The sequence below is a fragment of the Homo sapiens genome, chromosome X (genome assembly GCF_000001405.40).
Source record: "Homo sapiens chromosome X, GRCh38.p14 Primary Assembly".
In the NCBI taxonomy this organism is placed as follows: Eukaryota; Metazoa; Chordata; class Mammalia; order Primates; family Hominidae; genus Homo; species Homo sapiens.
Window position 1 is genome coordinate 19,624,763 of NC_000023.11, and position 21,732 is coordinate 19,646,494.

A 21,732-nucleotide genomic window follows, 5' to 3' on the forward strand; every position below is an offset into this window, starting at 1 on the left:
AATAAGGACATAAGCAGTCTAACAAGATAGGCCATGCTGCAAGAAATACATTCTATGACATCAATGACTCATTTGCTCAACACTGACATTTTCCAAATGTCTGTAAACCCAGATGATCCCAGACCTATGCTTAACTTCTTCATTCACTCATAAAACATGTCTGTCTAATGGGTCTGTCAGCATGTCATCATCTTCAGGGTGACACGTGCTAATTTACTCCTCACCCTTGGAACCACATTTAATCCTACCATTTGAGCTCTGCTAAAAGCTTCAGCAGTTCAGAGAGAAAGGGTCAGGGCCAGCAATCGATTTAGCTGATCGGCTTTCTTCCTGCCAAGCTAAGGATCTTGCTTGAGATTCCTGAGGCTGCTTCTCTTTGTGAAGGCAACCTTATTTTCCTGTGGGGTGGGAAGCAAGGAAGTCTGAAAACATTTTTCTCATGAATACATGTTTTAGTTCATTAATGAATTAATGGGAGGGAGGCAGGAAGGGGAAATAAACATTAGAACAAAAAAAATAACAGAGTTGATCACAGAATGTCTTAGGAAGGGCCTCAGGACTCCCGCCTGCATTTTTTTTTGCCCCCCGACAGCGAGTGGAAAGCTAAGTGGCAACCAGGCTAGGAAGAAAAGAGGAAGGCAAAATACTCTGGGCATGGGAAGAAACTGGAAGAAAGCAGTTGGGGAGGCAGGCCTCAGGCACAAAAAGAACCAATGTCAACCCTGAGCTGAACTCATCATTCCCTCTGCATGGACCATCATTTCACTCTTTTAGAGGTGGCAGTGGACTCCTACAGTCATGGATGATCCAGAAACCACCACAGTGATGTCCTGACCCTAACAGATCGGAAACATAGATTTCAAAACGCGAGCATCAGCAACAAAGGATGGGGTGATGGCATGGTAATACTGTTTTTCTGCTAAGTAACAATGATAATGTCATTACCTTACAAAGGAAACTCCACAGACACTTGCCCTGGATATCCAGTAACAATGAGGACTCTCAATGAGTAGACAAGAGTCACCTCTGGAAGTGACTCAGCCCCACAGGAAACACGAACTCCACCCGCAGTTACCACCTTGCCCAGCCCCCAAGTTCCAAGAGCACTTGGCCCAGGGTCAGCAGATGCCTCTGACCTGGCTCTGCCACTGACTTGCTGGGAGTCCCTCGGGAAAGCTGCTTCAGCACTCTGGGCCTCTGCTCCTCCTTTGTAATCTGCAGAGAACACGCATGGTCCCACCTAATTCCCGGGGTTGCTGTGAAGATGAGGGGAAATGCTGAGCTCCGGGGAGACTCCTGAGGAAAGGGGAATGGTGATGATGGTCCCGGGCTCTTGCTGCCAGTGGTTCAGAATCCTGTGCTGGGAAGCTGTGGTCCTGGAGAAAGATCTAGCTATCATTAAGTTAATTAAATGTTCAACTGTTGTCTGGGACAGGAGGGAGGAAAACATATTGAGGTAGAGATGAAAAGGAGCGGTTCTAACTGTGCCCTCACAGCATGTCTAGCTCCAAATACTTGGGGTCCCTACAAAGAAGCAAAATTCCTGGTTTGAATTTTTGGCTTACCATTGTATTCCAGCATTTTGCACAGCTCCTGGCACACCATAAATATTCTTCGATGTATGAATGAATGAATGAATGAATGAATGAATGAGTGAACGAACATTGTGAGGGGAAGAGGACAGGGTGCAAATTAAAATTGTTGTCAATAATCTTCAGTGGATAATCCTCATGGTCCAAGGAAAGATGACTGTACTACTGTGTTGGGGATGCCACTAACCGTCTTTAGCTAATATTCTGGGTCCCCTCTTTTTTGTGGTTTGGGGGACAGGGTCTCACTCTGTCCCCTAGGCCTGAGTGCAGTGGCACAATTATGGCTCACTGCAGCCTCAACCTCCTGGGCTCAGGCAACCCTCCCGCCTCAGCCTCCCAAGTAGCTGGAACTATAGGAACACAACACCACACCTGGCTAATTTTTGTATTTTTTGGTGAAGATGGGGTTTCACCATGTTGTTCAGGCTGGTCTCAAACTCCCAGGCTCAAGTGATCCTCCCGTCTCAGCCACTCAAACTGCTAGGATTAGAGACGGGAGCCACTGAGCCCGGCCTGGGTCCCCTCTTTCTCTAGGGTGTGTCTATCAGTTTCCTTCCATGAACATTAATGCTAGCTAATATTGCTTCCGTTCCCTTCCCTCCATCTCTACGACTCCACGATTTTGACCAATAACGTTAGCTTTCTAAGCGTTCATCTTGATGTCATCAAATAGGCTTAAAACAATGAAGACAGGGAGGTTGGGTATGCTTAAGGGTCAAAGACACAACTACCCAAGGAAGCCTGTTTGATAAGAAACACCTAAAGGTCCTTGTTTACAATAGGGTCACAGAGGAAGCCTTTCCTCCTAGGTTAGTGGGAGCTGTGAGGAATGGCTGTTGCTCTGAGGCCAGGAGGCTGTTGGCCAAGAGTGGGAACATGGCCACTCTCCACAGCTGGGCTCATTCTGCCCCAAGCGGCAGCGGCCACAGCGTGGGACACCTTCCAATGGCCATCTCACCCTTGCAGCTGAGCCCTGGCATAGCTCCTGCCAAGCTGCCCTCAGCCCTTCTCCAGGAAGCTTCTCCAGTTGGGATGAGACCCAGAAGCTTCGGAACCTTTTCAAACACACTCTGAGCACAAATCAGGAAGGCAGGGATGGGGGTGGCAGGAACACAGACACGGGAGTTATTTTTGAGTGACTGGAAATAAAAGCTAAACACAGGTGTGTTCTGCACGAGTGGAAATGTTCCTAAATTCACAAGAATTCTTTATAAATAAACTAGAAAACAAACCATTCAGGTTGCCACATTTCCTCCTGGCTTCCAGGGACATACAGAAATAGTTTGGGTCTTTGCACATTATTTCAGGAACTGCAGAGGGCTTATACACACCCACTAAAGGTGTCTGACTCATTTTCTAGAAAGCCACATGAACTGACAATCTGGGGCTAAAAATGAGGGCAAAGCCTGCTCTGTGACTCCTGCTACAGCACAGAAAAGCAGGGCAAAGGGAAACCACCTTCAATGATACCAAAGTAAATGTCAGAGGAATTCGGGGTCTATCAGGAACCTCTACGGCGAACACAGAATTTAGAGAACAGCAGTTCAGGTCTTTCACCTCAACTCCTACATCCAATAAATATGCGTATCAGAATGCATATTAAACAGATCATGGTGAAACCATTCATTTTATAATAGCAATAGTATACAATCATCTCAATGAACTTCTGGGCGATTCCTAACTTAGAGGAAGAGTAACAATCTTCTATAATGTCAGCAGGGTTTTACAGGCTCCGACTCCATTCTTCCCACTTTCAGCAAGCAAAATATTTATGGCATGTTTTCTTTCCAAATTCTTGCTAAAATCTCCTCCACTGTGAACACTTAACTATTTTAGGTGGATTTTTCACCATTTTAACCTACTTAACGTCATGGCATTCCAGCCTCAGCAGCAAACTGGGCTCAGACACAACAGCCCTTCCATTCCCACTTCCAGGGCCCAAGAAAGAGCAGCCAGGGTTGGGTGACAATTCCTAGAATTATGGGTGCCACTGACAGACTCCTCCCTGCCAGAGTAAATCCTCGCAGCAGCCCTGTGAGGTCAGCTTTATGGCCCTTGCTTTATGGCTGAGGAAACTCAGACTCAGAGGGGGTAAGCAACATGCCCGAAAAGACACAGCCAGGAACAGTGGAGCTGGGATTCAAACCCTGGTTCTGGGAGCTGGTAGCCTACATGGCACTTGTCATCTGAACACACCGCTTCCGGCAAACTGGAATGCTAGGTTAAGGCTGGCAGGCATTTTATGGAAATAAAAGTAAAAATCTGCACAAGCACAGGATAGCAAGAGATTTGATTTCCCAGCAGGTTGTATAAAAAAATAATAAAAGCAAAATGATAGAGCACAAAGGATTTTCTTAAGCAGCAAGCTCTAAAATGGGCCCAAGCAGCATGAGTTAAGACTGGCTGTGTGATTAGCTATCCAAAAAAACCCAGCAAACTGGAAGCCGGGTGCAGTGGCTAGGCCGGCTGCAGTGGCTCACGCCTGTAATCACAGCACTTTGGGAGGCTGAGGCGCGTGGATCACTTGAGGTCAGGAGTTCAAGACCAGCCTGAGCAACATGGTAAAACCCCGTCTCTACTAGAAATACAAAAATTAGCCAGGCATGATTTACTGTACAGGCACACACCTGTAATCCCAGCTACTCAGGAGGCTGAGGTGGGAGAATCGCACGAACCTGGGAGGTGGAAGTTGCAGTGAGCCGAGATCACACGATTGCACTCCAGCCTGGGCGACAGAGTGAGACCCTGTCTCAAAAACAAAATAAAGCAAAACAAACAAAAAATAGCAATGTGGGTAGGCAGAGGGCATCTCGGGCATCAGGAACATGGTCTGAGTCAAGTTAGTGAGGACACATAAGCAGGAGGGGGATATACGGGGGGTACCTGCAGAACAGCCACATGGACCAAGGCCACCAAGACAGACTGAGGTCAGGACGGGTGAAGGAGTGCTAGGATCATCTATCTGGATTTTACAATAAAGAAAAAGAAAGTTACTAAAGATTTTGATTGGTGCAGAAGGGTAAGTGAGCACAGCAGTGTTAGAGAATGACAAAAAGAAGGGGCTGAGGTGCTAGGGATGAAGTGGGTAGGGGACACTGGAGTGGGGGGAAACATCCCTCCATCCTTCACTACCCCAGGGCTCTCCTCCAGACCGGGTGCTATGGTGGGTGATAGAGAAAGAAGGATGGAGGAAGCCTGGTCCTTGCTCACCTGGCCTGGACAGATACAGAACAACTCAAGCCTGTGCTTAGCTCTGCAGGGCAGGAAGTGGCAGGGATAGAGAAAGGCTTGTGGGTGGGAGCAGGGTGGGACTAGGAGGACCAAGTGTCAAAATGGTGATATGAGAACTCTAGGCCTGAGGAGTTGGATCAATGTGAAAGTCAGGTCAACAGACCAAGTGTACAGCAGAGATGACAACGTCATGTTTTGCAAATATAATATTAATAGCAGTGCGCTGCTTCAGTTTCTAAATTGCTTTCAAATACGTTAATCTATGAAACCAGAGAAATGGGATGTAACCTTCACAACACTCTTGAAAGCAGCTTGCCACATCTACCTGTTCATTTATCTGTACCATGTGGATGGGACCGATAGATACTCCCTTTCTGACTAAGGTCATTAGAAAAATCACATTAATTTTTATCAGACTGGATCTCAGGCTGGGAGGTTAGGAACAAAATCATCAAGATGAATGTGTTCTCATTATGATATGTATTCAAATGGAAGGACTGGAGTATAATATGTCAAAATAGAAACAGATGTGTGTCTTTTCTCAGACCTCATTAAATATTATTGACATACCAGGTTTTCAACTAAAAAGAGGCTCCCTCTCTTCCAAAGACAAAACAAAAACAGGCTAGTGAGTCCCCCGCTCCCTCCCACTGCAAAGAATAGCAGTTATTTAATTCTCTGGTTGCTTTATCATCAAGGGGGAAAAAAGCACTCTAGCCCTTTCCCAGTATTTCTAAAACCAAATTATCTGTGCTAATTATTACAGCATTCGTATTGTGCTTCACACCCATTTAACAACTTCCTTATTCCGCTTGTTTGGTTACAGGTCTGATTAAAAATAGGAAATGCACTGTGTGTCAGAAAGCAATCTGAAAGAGACAGAAAAGAATCACTTCTGCCTCATTTGCAGAAAACAACAAGGGAAGCATTCTTCCCCTCATTTCCTCCTGCCATGTTCAACACCTACAGAGACATACTGAAATAACTTCAGGGGAGAATACTTTACAGGTAAAAAGATGGACGAGTTCTTGGGTGATCTGCAAAACAGGGAATGATTTGCTGTTCCAGAAAGCATTATATACTCCATACCACTGTTATATGGAGTCCATGAGAGGACCAGCTTTCTCCCTAAAACTCCTGACCTGTGGCAAGCTAGTTAACTTCTTGGGTCATTAGTTCCCTGACATGTTTGGATTTGGCTCTTAAAACACACAATCTCTAAAGCCATGTCTTAGAGGTAACCTCTTGATAACAAAGGCAAATCTTACTGATCACCTTATGGACAAGCCCTGGGGGAGGGGTAGGGCCAGGTGACACCACAGTCTCCACCCTCTCAGTAATGGCCACAGTCGGCGGGACCCTGGGCCTACTCCCACTCTATGCACCTGCAATCTCTTCCCCTTCCCTGCATCCTCCACCCTGCCAAGGCTTCCCAGCCCTGCGAGAGCGAGCGCAGGCAGCCACGATGATCTCCCAAGTCACACTTGTGCTAAGGGAACTGTGCTAAGTTCCCTGTCACTCCCCTGAATACAAGAATAAAACCACCATACACATCTTCAAGACCATTCAGCTTCTTACCATATTTGACCATCACAAAAATGCTGTTCTTCAGAGAAAAAGTCATATATTCTGGGTATTGCTTAAATAATATATCTTTCAACCACCTACTTGGTGAGTACCATTGTGTGAAAGCACACAAAGTACACAGCCAAGGCCCTTGTTCAATTGCATCACTTCACACAGATTTTATAGCTCTCTGTTTATTTACAGGGCTCTGGCTCTAATAATAATAAAATCATTCAATCTTCTTAGCCCAAACGAGACAGGAAAAATTCTCTCAGGCACTCTACCTGTCTTTGATCTGAACAGCAAACATTCTTTAAGCGTTTTCTGCCTGTGAGGCATGACCAGCGTTTTAAAAAAAAACTCCTCCTCGGATACCTCAGGACACAGAGCTCTGCAGCCTGGCTGCTGTGGAGGGCAGGATCTCCAGCCGAGCAGGCTGCCTTTTGGGTTATTCCTTCTGGAACAGACTTTTCTGAAGGACCATGCAAATCTGCAGCTGGTCCTAAGGCAAACAAATCTATTCTCGTCTCAACGAATGCATTCACTTGGATGCTGGGCTTAGCTTGATCAAAAGGAAAGATACAAGATTCTTCCTCACAAGTTCAGGACTGAGAAAACCAAGCTTTCAAGCGCTGAAGCAAAAGCTTATACTGTCCAGTCAACACCCCAAAGCAGTTCGCGATTTAGAAGGTAGGAGACAACCTTTGTTTACCTTATTGATGAGAGTGACTATATCTCCTTCTTTGATTGTCAATTCATCATCATTCTGTGCCTCATATGGAAATATTACTTTGCAGTAATCCTTGCCTATAAGAAAAACAGAAAACATAACCTTTAAAATGCTTTATCTAATGAGCTGGCCCAGGAGAAAATGATCTCTATCACATTAAGTTCAGGGAAAGGCACACTTAACAGGTAGCATATTACTGCTGCATGAAGAAAGGGTGACCCTCAGAAAATGACCCGAGAGTGCTCATTTTTGGCTCATGTATATTTATTGGCTTCCACTTTTTTTCCCCTTACAAATCATGTGACATCATGAGATGCCCCTGACTGCTTTGCTTTTCTCTGGCAGAAAGGTAAAAAGGTTTCCTTACTCAGGAAAACAGACATATACCATTTTATATACTCTTCAGGTGCATGCATAAACATATATAGTCTACAGAGGGCAAAAAAACCTTAAGTTTTGCCTCACTGCCTTTTCCCACACATTACTAAATTAGAAACAAGGTATTTATACATGTTACAAAGCTACCCAGGATACATAAAACAATGAAAAGTTACCCCATTATGGTACGTCTTAAGAGACAAATGTCAATGTATTTCTATGTAAGCACATGCCAACCATAAACAGCCAACAAGTATTGACTGAACATTCTTTACACACATATGTGTGGGGGTAAGCTTGTTCAAATATGTCCCATGGCCTTTCTGTGGGAACCTCCCTATGCATAGATGGCTGTTCCTCAGCAAAGAGATGCAATAGCCCTCACCAAAGAGGGAAAAATACTAAGGCCACTAAAAATCGATTTAAGTATGTCCTGAATTACATGCTTTTGAAAGTCCATGTGCTGTTAAATCATCTCTATTTATCTGAAAGCACAAGTTACGAAGATAGTGAAAACATTTGTATTTCGGAAATGGAGACTTGGAAAACTAGGCCTTGATGATTCAGGACAGAAGGTGGACAGAAAAATTCAAGAGAATTAGTATCTACTGGGACAGGCATCGATTATTCTGCATCAAAGTCAACAAACCTAATGGCTGTGAATGGCCTTAGATATTTCCCAAGCATCAGGCCCGTTCCTGCAGACGGATCACAACCTAGAGCTATGTCTTAGAGGTAACCTCTTGATGACAATTATACTGTCCCTAGTGTAATTTATATTACTGAAATGTGTTTATTTATTTTGGTTAACATCCCAACAACCAGAGATTGTGACATATAAAATAAAAGCAATTAAGAAATCCATAATACAGATACACTATGGTCTAGGGTTGGGATAGGACAGAGAAGAGAGGGAGGAAGGGGAAGGGGAAGGAGTGAAGGGAGGAGAGGCGGTATTCACTTTGCTTTTGTGCAGATGTTTTCATATTCTGTTACAATAGCTTGAAAATATTAGTTACATTCCCTGTCCTAGTGTTGGAAATCTTCCATCTTGGGTATTCTGGGCCTCTGATGGCTTTTGCCCCTTAACCTGTGCTGAGGGGCAATAGTTCTAAATTCCATCAATACCATATTCCTAAACCCATATAGTTACCAACGTTCTATCTCTCTTTACTTAGTAATAGCAAACCTCCCCAAATCTGAATTGGTCAAATGTTCTACAGAGACAGAAAAAGTTAAAACATGTTTAAATTGGATAATGACAGCTCCTCACCAATTTTCCTATTGACTGTGCTAGTGAAATATGACTGCCAATCTCAAAACTTACAACAACACAAACACAGTATCACTGAAGAACTGCACTACAGAGTCCTGGCTTTAAGAATAATTATTTGGATGGAAATCATGAAACAATTTTTACAAAGAATACAGAAACCCACAGCCAACAAAGAAAGAACAGGTCATGTTTCTGTTCCCTTCAGTCAAAAAAAGTTAATTAAGTGTAATAGAGACTGTTGGTTAACATCCCAGCAGACATTCCCCACCCTCTTCCTAGTTCACAGAATCCTAATTTGTTCAGGCATTACATTCAGGAACATGGAACCCTCTCACAGCCCTGGGGATAAAGCAAAATATGTCCAGGCAAATAATGTTAATCTCACTCTCTTTTGTTGGTGACTGGTTTAGGGATGGGCAGGTGCTCTATTTGCAGCCAATGAGATGTGAGAGGAAATCTGCTGGGGGTGGGAGAGGCTGTTAGATTTTGTTCCCTGGTGTGTGTGTGTGTGTGTGTGTGTGTGTGTGTGTGTGTGTGTGTGTGTGTGTGTGTGTGTGTGTGACAGAGGGAAAGAAAGAGAGAGAGACGGAGAGACCGAGAGACACAGAGAGACACAGAGAGAGAGAGACATGGAGAGACAGAGAGAGAGAGACAGACAGACACAGAGAGACAGACAGGCAGACTTGAGGAAGACAGTTGCCCCTGCCATTCTCCTTTTAACAGTTTTATCTTTGTTGGACGTCAGTACAGTGTTTGGTGCTCTTGAAATCATATTTCAACTGCAAGAGGAATGCCAAGAAAATCAGTGATAATTTGATGAGTTTTAATAAATTTATACAGTTGTGTAACCATCACCATAATCCAGCTTTAGAACACTTCGACTGTGCAGCTATGCTGTTTTATGTGTAAGGCATTAGACACAGAATTATCTGGAAAGCACCACTGTTAGAGAAAAAGAGGAGATCCTGGTGCCAGGGCTTGCTGCAGCATATCTCAGCCCTCTTTGCACCCCCCAAAACCGGACACAGAGCTCCCACTCAATGTTTCTTGATGATCTCCAAGTGACCCCTATAAAGTGGAGGAACACTTGGAGGGGCCACAAGGAGGAGGAGGAGAGGACGGTGGGCCAGAAGGCAGGATACTTGGGACTAGGTTGGGTTCCCAGCTGGGCTTTCGCAAGCACATGACCTGAGACAATCACACTACAACTCTGGATGACCTCAGTGTCCTCAGGTGTAAAATCAGGGACCAGCTAAGGAGGGGAGAGAGGAGAGTCTGGTTAACTTCAGCAGGACACTTAGCAAATTTCAAGGTATTCCAGAGCTCAAATATAAAGGAACTGAAAAAGAGCTGTTCTGGTTGGGGAGTAGGGCTGTCCCATCTCCCACCCAGGTCCCCAAAGACATGTCAGTGAAGCTCTGAGGGCTCCAAGGGGCACACTGGGCTAGACCTGAGTTCCTGGGAGCTCTGACTTTGAGCTGTGACTTTTCATGACTCTAGTCACAGGCACTATCACCCAGAACTCCTGACCAAACCCGGCAACCATTAGCTTCACACACTTTAATTTATTATGACATATTTTAAAACAGGAATGTATTTTTATTGATGAGGCATTTGAGCCTGAATTCAGTAGTATTAGAAAATAAAAATATTTCTGGATAAAGAAAATGTGGTACATATACACCATGGAATACTATGCAGCCATAAAAAGGAATGAGATCATGTCCTTTGCAGGGACATGGATGAAGCTGGAAGCCATCATCCTCAGCAGACTGACACAGGGACAGAAAACCAAGCACCGCATGTTCTCACTCATAAGTGGGAGTTGAACATTGAGAATACATGGACACAGAGAGGGGAACAACACATACCAGGGCCTGTTGGGGGGTGGGGGATGAGGGGAGGGAACTTAGAGGATGGGTCAACAGGTGCAGCAAACCACCATGGCACACATATACCTGTGTAACAAACCTGCACATTCTGCACGTGTATCCCGTTTTTTTTTTTTTAGAAGAAAGAAAAAAAATACTACGTTGCATTGGATGTATCAGTGGCTTTAAGACACTCAAAATTGTTATCTGCAAAAAAATTATTAACTCTGAGTTTGTGGTTTTAATGTTAAAGTATATGGAACAAAGATGTTCCTGACTTCCACTTAAATATTTATTGGACCACCACCATGAAAAAGACATTGCCAATTTGGGGGACTGTAATATACAAGTAAGCCCAACCACCCCCTCCTGTCCCTGCATGGAAGTGACAGTCTAATTCTTGGAGAAAAGCAAGGGGAGGAGAATGGCAGAAAGAAAAGACAAAGCCATGCATACACATAAACTCACTATGATGGAATATTGTTGTGTTTCAGAGAAAGGCAAGATTACATTCAGGAGAAAGTTCTCAAAAGAGGAGGCATTTGATATGTCTTAAAAGAAGGGTATAATTCCACATCCTTTGGATGTGGGAAGATTATAAATTTTAAATGAGTATCGGACAGAGTTGGAGAAGAAGGGAATTAAATTAATTTTGAGAGGCAGGCATTTTCCATCTATTCATCAATTGGATGGATTTAATTAGAGATCAAATAGGAATGAATAGACACACACACATAGAGAGAGAGAGAGAGAGAAAAAATAAAGCATAATTTATCCAGCAATTTGAGATGATTTTGTCTTTTTTCTTTAGAAAGGTTAAAAATGACTAATGAATTAGCATAAGACTGAAATCCTAAATCAGTTCATAAGCCTTTTTTTGTCTTAGAGTCCTTTAAGAATCTGATAAAAAGCAATGACTCTTTCCAGAAAAAAAAAAACACAACACAACAAACCATACACACACACACTCAAATGTGCAGAGAAAATGTATACAATATCAGAAGGTTTGAGGACCCCAAAGCTGTTAGTTACCTAGTTCCCACATCAAGAGCCCCAGTACTAATTATTGGCTTTCAAATTTTAAGAAGCTTGCTCTATTAAAATCACCAAAATGTCCAGTCATGATTTACACCCTCCCCAAAAAACATTATTTCAATCTCTAAACTTTTAGAAATTTACATAATATTAAAAACAGACTGTTAAAGGAATTGAACTCACATGCCCACATCACATGACTGCCTGCAGCTAGTTTTATAATCTATTCAATAAAAACAAACCAACTTCAAACAAACAAGCAAAAACCCTCTCAGCTTAAAAAAAAATAAAAGCAGAACCAACAGAATAAATATATCAGCAAGCTGAACATATACACAGAAGGAAATAACATTAAATCCAGGACAACTCTCTGAGTTCAGTTTTAGGGTATAAAGATCAAAACCCCATGTGTCATAGGCAGATTCTGCTAGGAAGACTTTCAGAGCTTTAAGCAGCATTTGGAAAGTACCAGGTCACACCTAAAACTGGAGTTTTCCTTTCCCTTGGGACAGTACAACAAAAGTATCAAGCTCAGGGATAATCTAGTTTCACGCACATCATAATCAGAAATTCTCTCGTTCAACTGACAAATATTATCTCAGACACTACTGGTTGGTAATCCCTCACTCAGAAGCCCTGGGGACAGGATTATTCAGATTTTAGAAAGGAAATATACTGCATATACCATATAATACGTAACATCCTCAGCTGGGGGCTGGGGCTGCACCCAACCATTAAAATTCTGCAGTAAATGGATGACTGGTCACTCCAAGTGGGAAAAATAAAGACTATGAGTAGGCATATGTCAGTCCAGAACAAGTTTTATCACCCAATGAGTAATAAAACATTTTAGTTTTCAGAGCTTTTTGTATTTTAGAATGGCACATAAGGGTGTGGACTTCTATCATGTTCTAGGAAAGAGAAATTAAGGTAAATAAGACACTATCTGCTCGAGGAGCTCAAGTAGCAGAAAAGGGTTTGCAAACATACAGTGTTGACCAGACAACAGTGAAGATAGGATGAGAGCCATGCATTCGGCTTAAAGTGTCAGAGTATCTGAAACGGGACAATCACTTCCCAAACAAGAGACTCAGGATCTTGTCAGAGAGGAAGAAAATGACAGTGGGCTTTGTACAATGTTCTAGGACACTGACCAGAGGAGTAGGATTGGGGTATGTTTCCCAATCAATCATCCCTGATAAGAATTTTGTGGGGCACCTGTTCATTCTATTATCTTCCCAGACCTCTTCCCTGCAGATGTGAATCTTCAGATCTGAGGTGGGACCGGGAATCCATTTACTAAACACATACTCTGGTGATTCTCATCATCAGAGAAGCTTTAAAAACCTTAGTCTGGCCGGGCGCGGTGGCTCACGTCTGTAATCCCAGCACTTTGGGAGGCCGAGGCAGGCAGATCACGAGGTCAGGAGCTCGAGACCAGCTTGGTCAACATAGTGAAACCCCATCTCTACTAAAAATACAAAAATTAGCCAGGCTTGGTGGTGAGTGCCTATAGTCCCAGCTACTCTGGAGGCTAAGGCAGGAGAATTGCTTAAACCAGGGAGGCAGAGGTTGCAATGAGCCGAGATTGCACCACTGCACTCCAGCCTAGGCGACACAGCAAAATTCCATCTCCAAAACAAAACAAAACAAAAAAAAACAAACAAACAAACAAAAAAAAACAAAAGGCCGGGTGCGGTGGCTCACACCTGTAATCCCAGCACTTTGGGAGGCCGAGGCAGGCGGATCATGAGGTCAGGAGATCGAGACCATCCTGGCTAACACGGTGAAACCCCGTCTCCACTAAAAATACAAAAAATTAGCCGGGCACGGTGGCGGGCGTCTGTAGTCCCAGCTACTAGGGAGGCTGAGGCAGGAGAATGGTGTGAACCCAGGAGGCGGAGCTTGCAGTGAGCCAAGATCGCGCCACTGCAGTCCAGCCTGGGCGAAAGAGCAGACTCCGTCTCAAAAAAAAAAAAAAAAAAAAGGCCTTAGTCTAGGTCAGTGGTTCTCAGGCTTGAGTGGGCATTGGCATCAGGTGGAGAGCTTGTAAAAATAGATCAACTGGGCCCCACCCCCAGGGGTTCTGATTCTGTAGGGCTGGTATTTGCATTTCTAACAAGTTCCTAGGTGATGCTCCTGCTGCTGCTAGTTCTGGGACCACGCTGTGAGAACCACTGGTCTAGTAATGGGTATTAGCAAATGTTTAATTCCAGGAAGGAGCAAAACAGTTGTGGGGACCTGGAGGGTGGACAAGTATGGTGGTAGCACTGGGGGTGGGTGTGCCATATGCTAGATTTAGACAGGAACTCCAGTTCTGGGTCAGATTCTGAGGATCTGGGGCTAGTGAGGAGTAGTGAAATACATACTAGGCTTGTCATCTATTCAGTAAATAATAACTGAGCGTCCACTGCATGCCAGGCAGCAGGGATGCCACAATGCCCTCGTGGGGCTTACTACAGTCTATACCAGCAGTTTGAAACTAGGGCTTCCCAGGAAATACTGGCAATACCTGGAGACAATTCTACTTATTAGAACTTGGCAGGGAATGGGGGTTGAGTGCTACTGGCATCTAGTGGGCAGAGGCCAGGGATGCTGCCAAACATTCTACAATGCACACAGAGGACAACGCCCACCAACAGACAATGATCCAGCCCAAATGTCAATACTGCTGAGGTGAAGAAGCCATGGTCTACATTTAAATTGAGACGGAGAAATGAAACACGATGTGTCCGTCAGTATGTCTGTCAACGCCAACCCAGTGTCTTCCTTTATGAAGAAGCTGACCATAACTCCAAACAACCACCTTCGGTCTCGGATGCTGTTGGGAATTTGACTTTCAAATTATTTCACAAGTATGAATTATGACACCATTTAACCTCCTCTAAAAAGAGAAGTATATTTTAAAAAGAAGAAATGAAAATCTGACAAGCAAAGCCCTTCTTGTCTCTACAATGCAGCAGAGGCTGGATCACTGCTCCTCTCGATGGTACTTTCAGATGAGAAGCTCAGATGAGAAGCTCCTTGGAGAGTCTTTGGGAGAAAGAAAACCTACCAGGAAAACACAAAGGGAGTTAACCTTTTTCTCAAGAGGACTGTATTTGAAATGCAGATCTTAAGCCACACGGGTAGGCTGGGCACCCTCCTGGGAAGGCTCCCACTCTGAATCCAGACAGCAATGTCTGTATTGGGGAGCAAGTGATGAAAGGTGCTTCTTAGGAAGAGGTGGGTACCCCTGGGACATCAAGCATGAGGGGCTTCAGTACATGACAGGCATGGGAGGCACTAAAGGGGTGAATATGAGACATGCTGCAGCAAATTGGATGTGCCCAAATCCCCAGGCCCAAGAATGAGTGAGTTTGGGGGAGGATATGTGAGCAAAACCACTGAGTCTGAAAAAATAGGATCAGAGTTCCTGGGTATATATTATGAAGCTGAGGAAAACCCAACACAAGAGAGTTGACTCTTTTTTTTTTTTTTTTTTTTCCTATTTAAACATGTGGTGAGAAAGCAAAAATGAGCTGCACTGAGTAAGTAGCAATCTGCCCAGCCATTCTTGAGGCTGGGGCAACAGACACAGATAAGGCCACCTGCAAAGTGATCAGGAAACAGTGTTTCTCTCCCAAGCATATGCAGTAGTTGCAAAGTGTCCTTAACAACCCTCTTCTTGGAGTGCTCCTACTTTCTCACTCCCTGACAAAGTATGTGATTTTAGAGACAAACTACCAGAAACTTGGTTTTTAAAAAAATTATATCAGGAAGAATGAAACAGTCCACTCTGGCCTGAAGGCGCTAAGCCACTTGACCCAGAGAAGCAGTCTTCATTTCCAGCCCAAGTGCAGCGCCTCATGTAACGGGTTTCTGGACACAGCACTACACATCTATCTTCACTTGGTAGCTGCCAAAGAAACAGGACCTGAGTCCACCTCACAGTCAAGACCTGATGCTGACCCCTTGCCGTGCAGCCCTGCTTTGCCTTGAGCCTATCAAAACATAATTTCATTTACATTTCACTAAATTCCACCCCTTCTCAAAATCTGCAACGACTTTTTTTTTTTTTTTAATTTTGCTTTTGCTTGGTGTAACATCCACACGTCCCCCGGTGTGCAGTCTCCCTGGTCACAACGAGCCAATAAACCTGAATTCGTCAGACTACAGCCTTGTCCCTGGTGGTCTTGAGGCAGAATAGGGTCTGGAGGCAGAGAACCTAAGGCCGATTCACGCTGACTTCCTAGAACTAAATCAAAAGGAAAATCCCAACTTTCCACACCTAAGTAACAAAAGGACCATAGGCTACTCCCTTTGCAAATCCCGCTCCTTTTCTGCGGGGCAGATGGAAAATTGAAAGTATCTCTGATTAGTTGCTTTCTGCAACCAATCAGATGTTTGCATAGAAGTGTAACTTTGTAGCTTCACTTCAGCCTCTGATTGGTTGCTTTCCACAACCAATCAGACTGACTGTGGGCCACCATATTATTTACATAGGGTGTGTACCAAGTAACCAATGGGAAACCTCTAGAGGGTATTTAAACCCCAGAAAATTCTGTAATTTGGCTGTTGAGCCCCTATGCTGCTGTCCGCTCTGACCCTGTGGAGTGTACTTTCATTTTCAATAATCTCTGCTTTTGTTGCTTTACTCTTTCCTTGCTTTGTTTGTGCGTTTTGTCCAATTATTTGTTCAAGACGCCAAGAACCTGGACACCCTCCACTGGTAACAGTCTTAGGCCGATTGGGAGAGCAGTGGCTGGTAAGAAGAGAGGGTCTGGCAAGCCCCAAGGAACACCGGCAAGCCAAGGAACACCAGCAACCACTGCTAACCACTCAGACTCCAGAACATGCTCAAGTGTCTTACAGGAACAAATGTATTTTGTTTTGATTTTTTGTTTTGTTTTGTTTTTTCCCCTAGCAGAGAGCTCTGTAAGCTGGTGTTCTGAACATACTTTTGAAGGATGTTCCTTACCATTGTATTTCAAGTTTCATTATATGTGGTTTCCATATACAACTTTAAAAGCTAAATCTACTTGCTTCTGTAGAGATGCATTATGTGCTGTTTTCATATAGCGAATGGAACTGTTTTCCAAGCATAAAATTTCGTAAGCAAGTGTTTCAAACATGTTTTTGGGAGATGTTTCTAGCATTGCATCTCATCGTGCATGAGGGCTTTATACATAAATGTTTTAGAGCTAAATCTAAGCATACTTTTTAAGAGATACATTATGTGCTGTTTTCCTACAGTGAATGGAACTGTTTTCCATGCAGAGGGCTCTTAAAGTAGGTGTTTGGAACATACTTTCGAAAGATGTTTCTTACCATTGTGTTTAAGGTCTCATTGTGAGGGGCTTACATATACAGGTATATGTACACTTGGCAAAGGGGACCAATGGCTAATAGCTTTTTAATTTTTATATATATTTTTGAGATAAGGTCTCACTCTGTCACCCAGACTGGAGTGCAGTGGCACGGTCGTGGCTCACCACAGCCTTGGACCTCCTGGGCTCAAGTGATCCTCCTGCCTCAGCCTCCCAAGGAGCTGGGACCACAGGCATGTGCCACCATGCACAACTAATTTTTTCTATTTTTTGTAGAGACAGGGTCTCACTGTGTTGTCCAGGCTGGCCTCAAGCTCCTGGGCTCAAGAGATCCTCCCGCCTCGGCCCCCACGAAGTGCTAGGATTACAGGCATGAGCCACCGTGCATGGTGCTAACGGCTTTTAAAAAACTGTGCAATCTACAGCCTGATAAATCATAAATCATTTATACTTCTCCATTTGCTCAACCACCACTTTTTATGTGCCCACTGAATCCATGGCACTTTTCTAGGCTGCATGGTGGGGATATCAAGTAGAAGATACAGCCTCAACCTAGAGGGACCAATGATCTAATGATAGCAACAAGGTTCCATTTGTTGCCATCACAGATGAGAACTCCTAAGAAGCAAGTCAATGAACAAAGGGATTGCAAAGGCGGTATGAGTGTCCAGTTAGGAAGTGAGATGAGGTTCAGCAGGGAAAACAGCCTTTGTCCTGCAGTCATAATTTATGCAGAAGCCTGATCTGCCCTTGTACAAATTCTGTCAAGGATTTTTCCCCCCAACCCACCTGTTCAGCTGGTCTTCTGAATCTGTAAGACTGAACTATTTTTCAGAAAAATATTCAATAGCCCTTTGGGCTATTTTTCTATCCCACAGAGGCCACAAATCTGTATCAATTATAATAAGAAAGAGGGAAACTCCAGATGTGGTGAGCTGGAGGAACCTCAGGGCACTTCATTATGAATATTTAGACAGTTTTCCTCTTGTTATGAAAATTATGTCAATCTGTTCCCCAGCATGAGTTTCTGATGAATTTCAATATCATAAAAGCTTTTTTTTTTGAGAGGGTGGGGATGATAATGTTGTTTAACTAAATCCTGATCAGCTGAGTTTCACTTTCACTCAGAAAATACCAACTCATATCAACATTTTTAAAATCATCACAACTCTTAACCCTGATGTGAGCTAGTATTTTAGCATGCTAAGGAGACAGACATCTACGCAGGAAGGAGCTGCCCTCTTCTGCACTGCTGGGCAATTTTTGTTATAGTTTGTCTTCTGGCCAGAAGGAAGAGGGAAGGAGGTTGCTCAGATCCCAAGCTCAGGGTCATTTCTAATATGTAGTTGTTCAGTTACTCTGTGGCCTGTTACCTAAACATAGGTGTCGTATCAAAATCCCGAAGCAGGGAAATGGTCCAAATGAAAGGGGCTTTTTAGGGGGCTTCTTAGGGGTCTGGGGTGGCACTAAATGGAAATCATGGAAGAACAATTACCCCAGAATTTGCTCTTGACAACTGGAGACAGTGTGTGTGGGCTGAAACTGAAGAATTTTTTATTTTTTTTTTTTTTATTTTTTTTTTTTTTTGAGACAGGGTCTCACTCTGCCACCCTGCTGGAGTGCAATGGTATGACCTTGGCTCAATCACTGCTGCTTCAACCTCCTGGGGTAATCCTCCCATGTCAGCCTTCCAAGAAGCTGGTCTCAAACTCCTGGGCTCAAGTGATCCACTTGCCTCACTCAGCCTCCTAAAGTGCTAGGACGACAGCTGTGAACCACTGTGCCCAGCCCAACTGTAGAAATTCTTATCCTGGTGTCTATGAAAAATGTCTGTCAATAAACATCCCTCAAGCCTTTGATGACAGTAATAATTCCCTTTCCTGACCTGCTACCATTTACAGGCATATTAACATCTATACCCAAAGACACCTTTCTCATATTCCTACTGAATTGTTCACATCTTCCTTTTGGCTCTTCCATCAGCTGTTTAATTTTTGAATGCAGAAACCTTCCCCTCTGAATTGTAAAGCTTTTAGAACTGAATGAGAGGATGAAGATGCTGGGATAAACCCTGGGGTTTATCTCTAGTATAACCCTCTGACTTCACAGACAATGCAGATGATGAAGAGGAAGGCCAAAGGAATAAAATGACTTGCCCAAGTTCACATGGCTAGCTAATAACAGAGCTGGTCCTAGAATATGGGCTTCCTATAAACCCACTCTTTTGAGTAACCCATCCCCCACCATGCTGTTCCTAGAGGGCCAGGTATGTGGATGTAGTTAATAGACGCTTTTAGGACTGAACAAGGCTTGGGCTGGAGCCAGGATTCTCCCACATGCTTAGGCAAGCTGAGCATTTGGAACTGTGTTCATTTTCAAGCCCAGGAAGCCCCTCTTGGACCCCAGAATTACTCTAAAACTATACTGTCCACAGGGAGTAGGCAGACAGTTACCAGAGGCTGGGAAGGGTAGTTGGGGGCTGGGGGGTAGGAGGGATGGTTAATGGGTACAAAAAATAGTAAGAATGAATGAGACCTAGTATTTGATAGCACAAGAGAGTGACTATGGTCAATAATAACTTAATTGTACATTTTAAAATAAAGAGTGTAACTGGATTGTTTGTAACTCAATGGATAAATGCTTGAGGGGATAGATACCCCATTCTCCATGATGTGCTTATTTCACATTGCATGCCTGTATCAAAACATCTCATGTACCCCATAAATATATACACTTACTATGTACCCACAACATTGTTTTAAAAAGAAAATATTTTAAAAAATAAAACTACACTTTCCAATATGGTTGCCACTAGGCACACATGACTATTGAGTGCTTGAAATGTAGCTACTCCAAATTGAGGTATACTATGCCTATGAAATACATATGGGATTGTGAAGACTTCACATGAAGAGAGCAATGAAAGTATCTCATTTAATAATTTTACGTAGATAACATGTGGCGATAATATTTGGATATATTGAGTTAAATAAAAATACATTAAAATTAAGTCCAATTGTTTTTCCTTTTTTTTTAAACATGGCTACTAGAAAATTTAGAATTACATATGTGGCTCACACATGATATTTCTATTGGCTAGCACTGTTCTAAAACACAGTTAACCCCTCCCATTCATTAGCCTAATCCTTCCAAAAAGACTTGAGCCTCCTGCCTGCAGACATGCAGTGGTATCTGGAGATATTCAAGCAGAGATGTGTTGAAGATACCAGTGGGAAGTCAAGGGTAAGTAAAATTGGTCAAGTTCAAGTGGTTAGGCCTCTCCGACCTGAGGGCTCGTGAATCCCTAAAGCGCTTAATTTGCCACTCTCTAAAATCTTTCAGCCACCTTAACTGTGCAAAGTGCTTGTTATATATGGATAAACCCTAGCTCTTCATACGAGTGAGATACATATAGCAGGAGAGAACCACGTTCTGTAATAAGGGGAAAGAAAAAAACAAAAACAGGAGTTCTGAATCTAACCTGTGCCCACCCTAATGGTGGGGAATTGAATGAAATACAATTGTGTACATTTTTCTGATGCGTTTGCAAAAGCTATCAAGGTTATATAGGGATTTCTAAAAAACATTTCTGTTATTGGGAAATCCTTAAATGCTTTTAAATGTGAAACAGATAACTAAGGAAACTCACTCTTTGTCCTGCTGTCCATTTCTGTTTTTGATGAGTCTGGAGTTGCTGTAGTTGCAGGTAACTTCTTCCCAATAGTCTGAGGGGAAAAACAGATGATTTTACTTATCAAGATGATTGTCTCCATTAAGCAAAGGAATAAGATCCAGATCATAATGACAAAATGCTCGAAATTGGTTTAAAAAGCCACATTCTTTGGTTTATGCCCTGCTCTGTATACTGGCTGCCCCCCTTTAATAGGTTTCATCCTCAATGACAAACAAGGGAGAAAAATAGGTAAAAAGGGCTTTATCCTTGTAGGCACTTAGTAGCGTTTATTCTCTTTCTTCCTTTATACTCTTATAAAAGGTTGACTATTTTTAGCAAAGAAAACAGGCATAGTTCCCCTCAGTTTATGAGAAGCTGACTCAGTCTATGGAGGTACAATAGCTGGCCCAACGGAGATGCTCAAAAGTCACTGCAGGCTGGAAAAATGGAAGTAGGAGGGAAGAAATCAAAAGGAAGGGATACAGGAATGGAGGCCCAGGAGGGCAGGACGGGCAGGCAGGTGGATGGGCAGGCAGAAGTCAGGATGTCCAGGACAGTGTACCCTATTGCATCTCTGTCTAGCCATCTAGAATTCCACCTGCCTCCCAGAGAAAGGGGAGATACTCTCATGTCCTCTAAACAGATCTACCTGCCTGCCACAAAGGCAAAAATGAGTCCACCAAGCAGCTCTTTTCCTTATAGTCTTTTAAGCCTCCAAGGGCTTAGAAAAAATCCAGCGCCTCAGACCCTATGCTTCCACTGACTAGTTCAAAAAAAGAAAGATTATGAGTTTGTTTTGAGTTCATTTCCTTTCCTTCATTTGCGGCTAATTCTATTAACATTATTTATGAACTGTCCATAGAGAAGACTGGATCTTATCTCTGCCTAAAGATGTTCCTAAAAACACAGGCAACTCAGCAGCTCAAAAATAGAAAGAAATATACAGATCCATTGGTTCCCAAGGCGAGGTCTGTTCCCACTCTTCCCCTTTGCTACCACACGTGTGTGATCATGATTGATGCCTGAGGGAAAATGTCTATTGATACCAGGGCAACAGCTGTCACGACCACG

The 21,732-nt window shown here is 43.4% G+C and overlaps 1 protein-coding gene and 1 long non-coding RNA gene across 33 annotated transcripts in view, besides 1 other annotated feature; one reads left to right on the top strand and one right to left on the bottom strand.

Moving 5' to 3' along the window:
- The window catches only part of SH3KBP1 (SH3 domain containing kinase binding protein 1), a 353,624-nt gene that overhangs the window by 90,786 nt on the left and 241,106 nt on the right, over positions 1-21,732 (bottom strand). For all 32 annotated transcript variants that reach the window (NM_001353890.2, NM_031892.3, NM_001353892.2 and 29 more), the window contains 2 exons: positions 20,638-20,713; positions 7,102-7,196 (listed from right to left, as the gene is read on the bottom strand). In NM_001353890.2, the coding sequence (NP_001340819.1) occupies positions 7,102-7,196; positions 20,638-20,713 (171 nt within the window). The remainder of the gene's footprint in view (positions 1-7,101; positions 7,197-20,637; positions 20,714-21,732) is intronic.
- Positions 394-1,593: an enhancer, noted in NCBI's record as "MED14-independent group 3 enhancer chrX:19643274-19644473 (GRCh37/hg19 assembly coordinates)". NCBI's record gives its function as "activates an origin of replication core promoter dependent on BRD2, BRD4, P300/CBP and CDK7 cofactors, and independent of MED14, by STARR-seq in HCT116 cells {active_cell/tissue: HCT116}" and the evidence as "EXISTENCE:reporter gene assay evidence [ECO:0000049][PMID:35650434]".
- LOC124905255 (uncharacterized) lies at positions 6,768-19,998 on the top strand. Its single transcript, XR_007068406.1, has 2 exons — positions 6,768-7,079; positions 16,363-19,998. It is a non-coding gene; the product is annotated as an uncharacterized LOC124905255 (long non-coding RNA).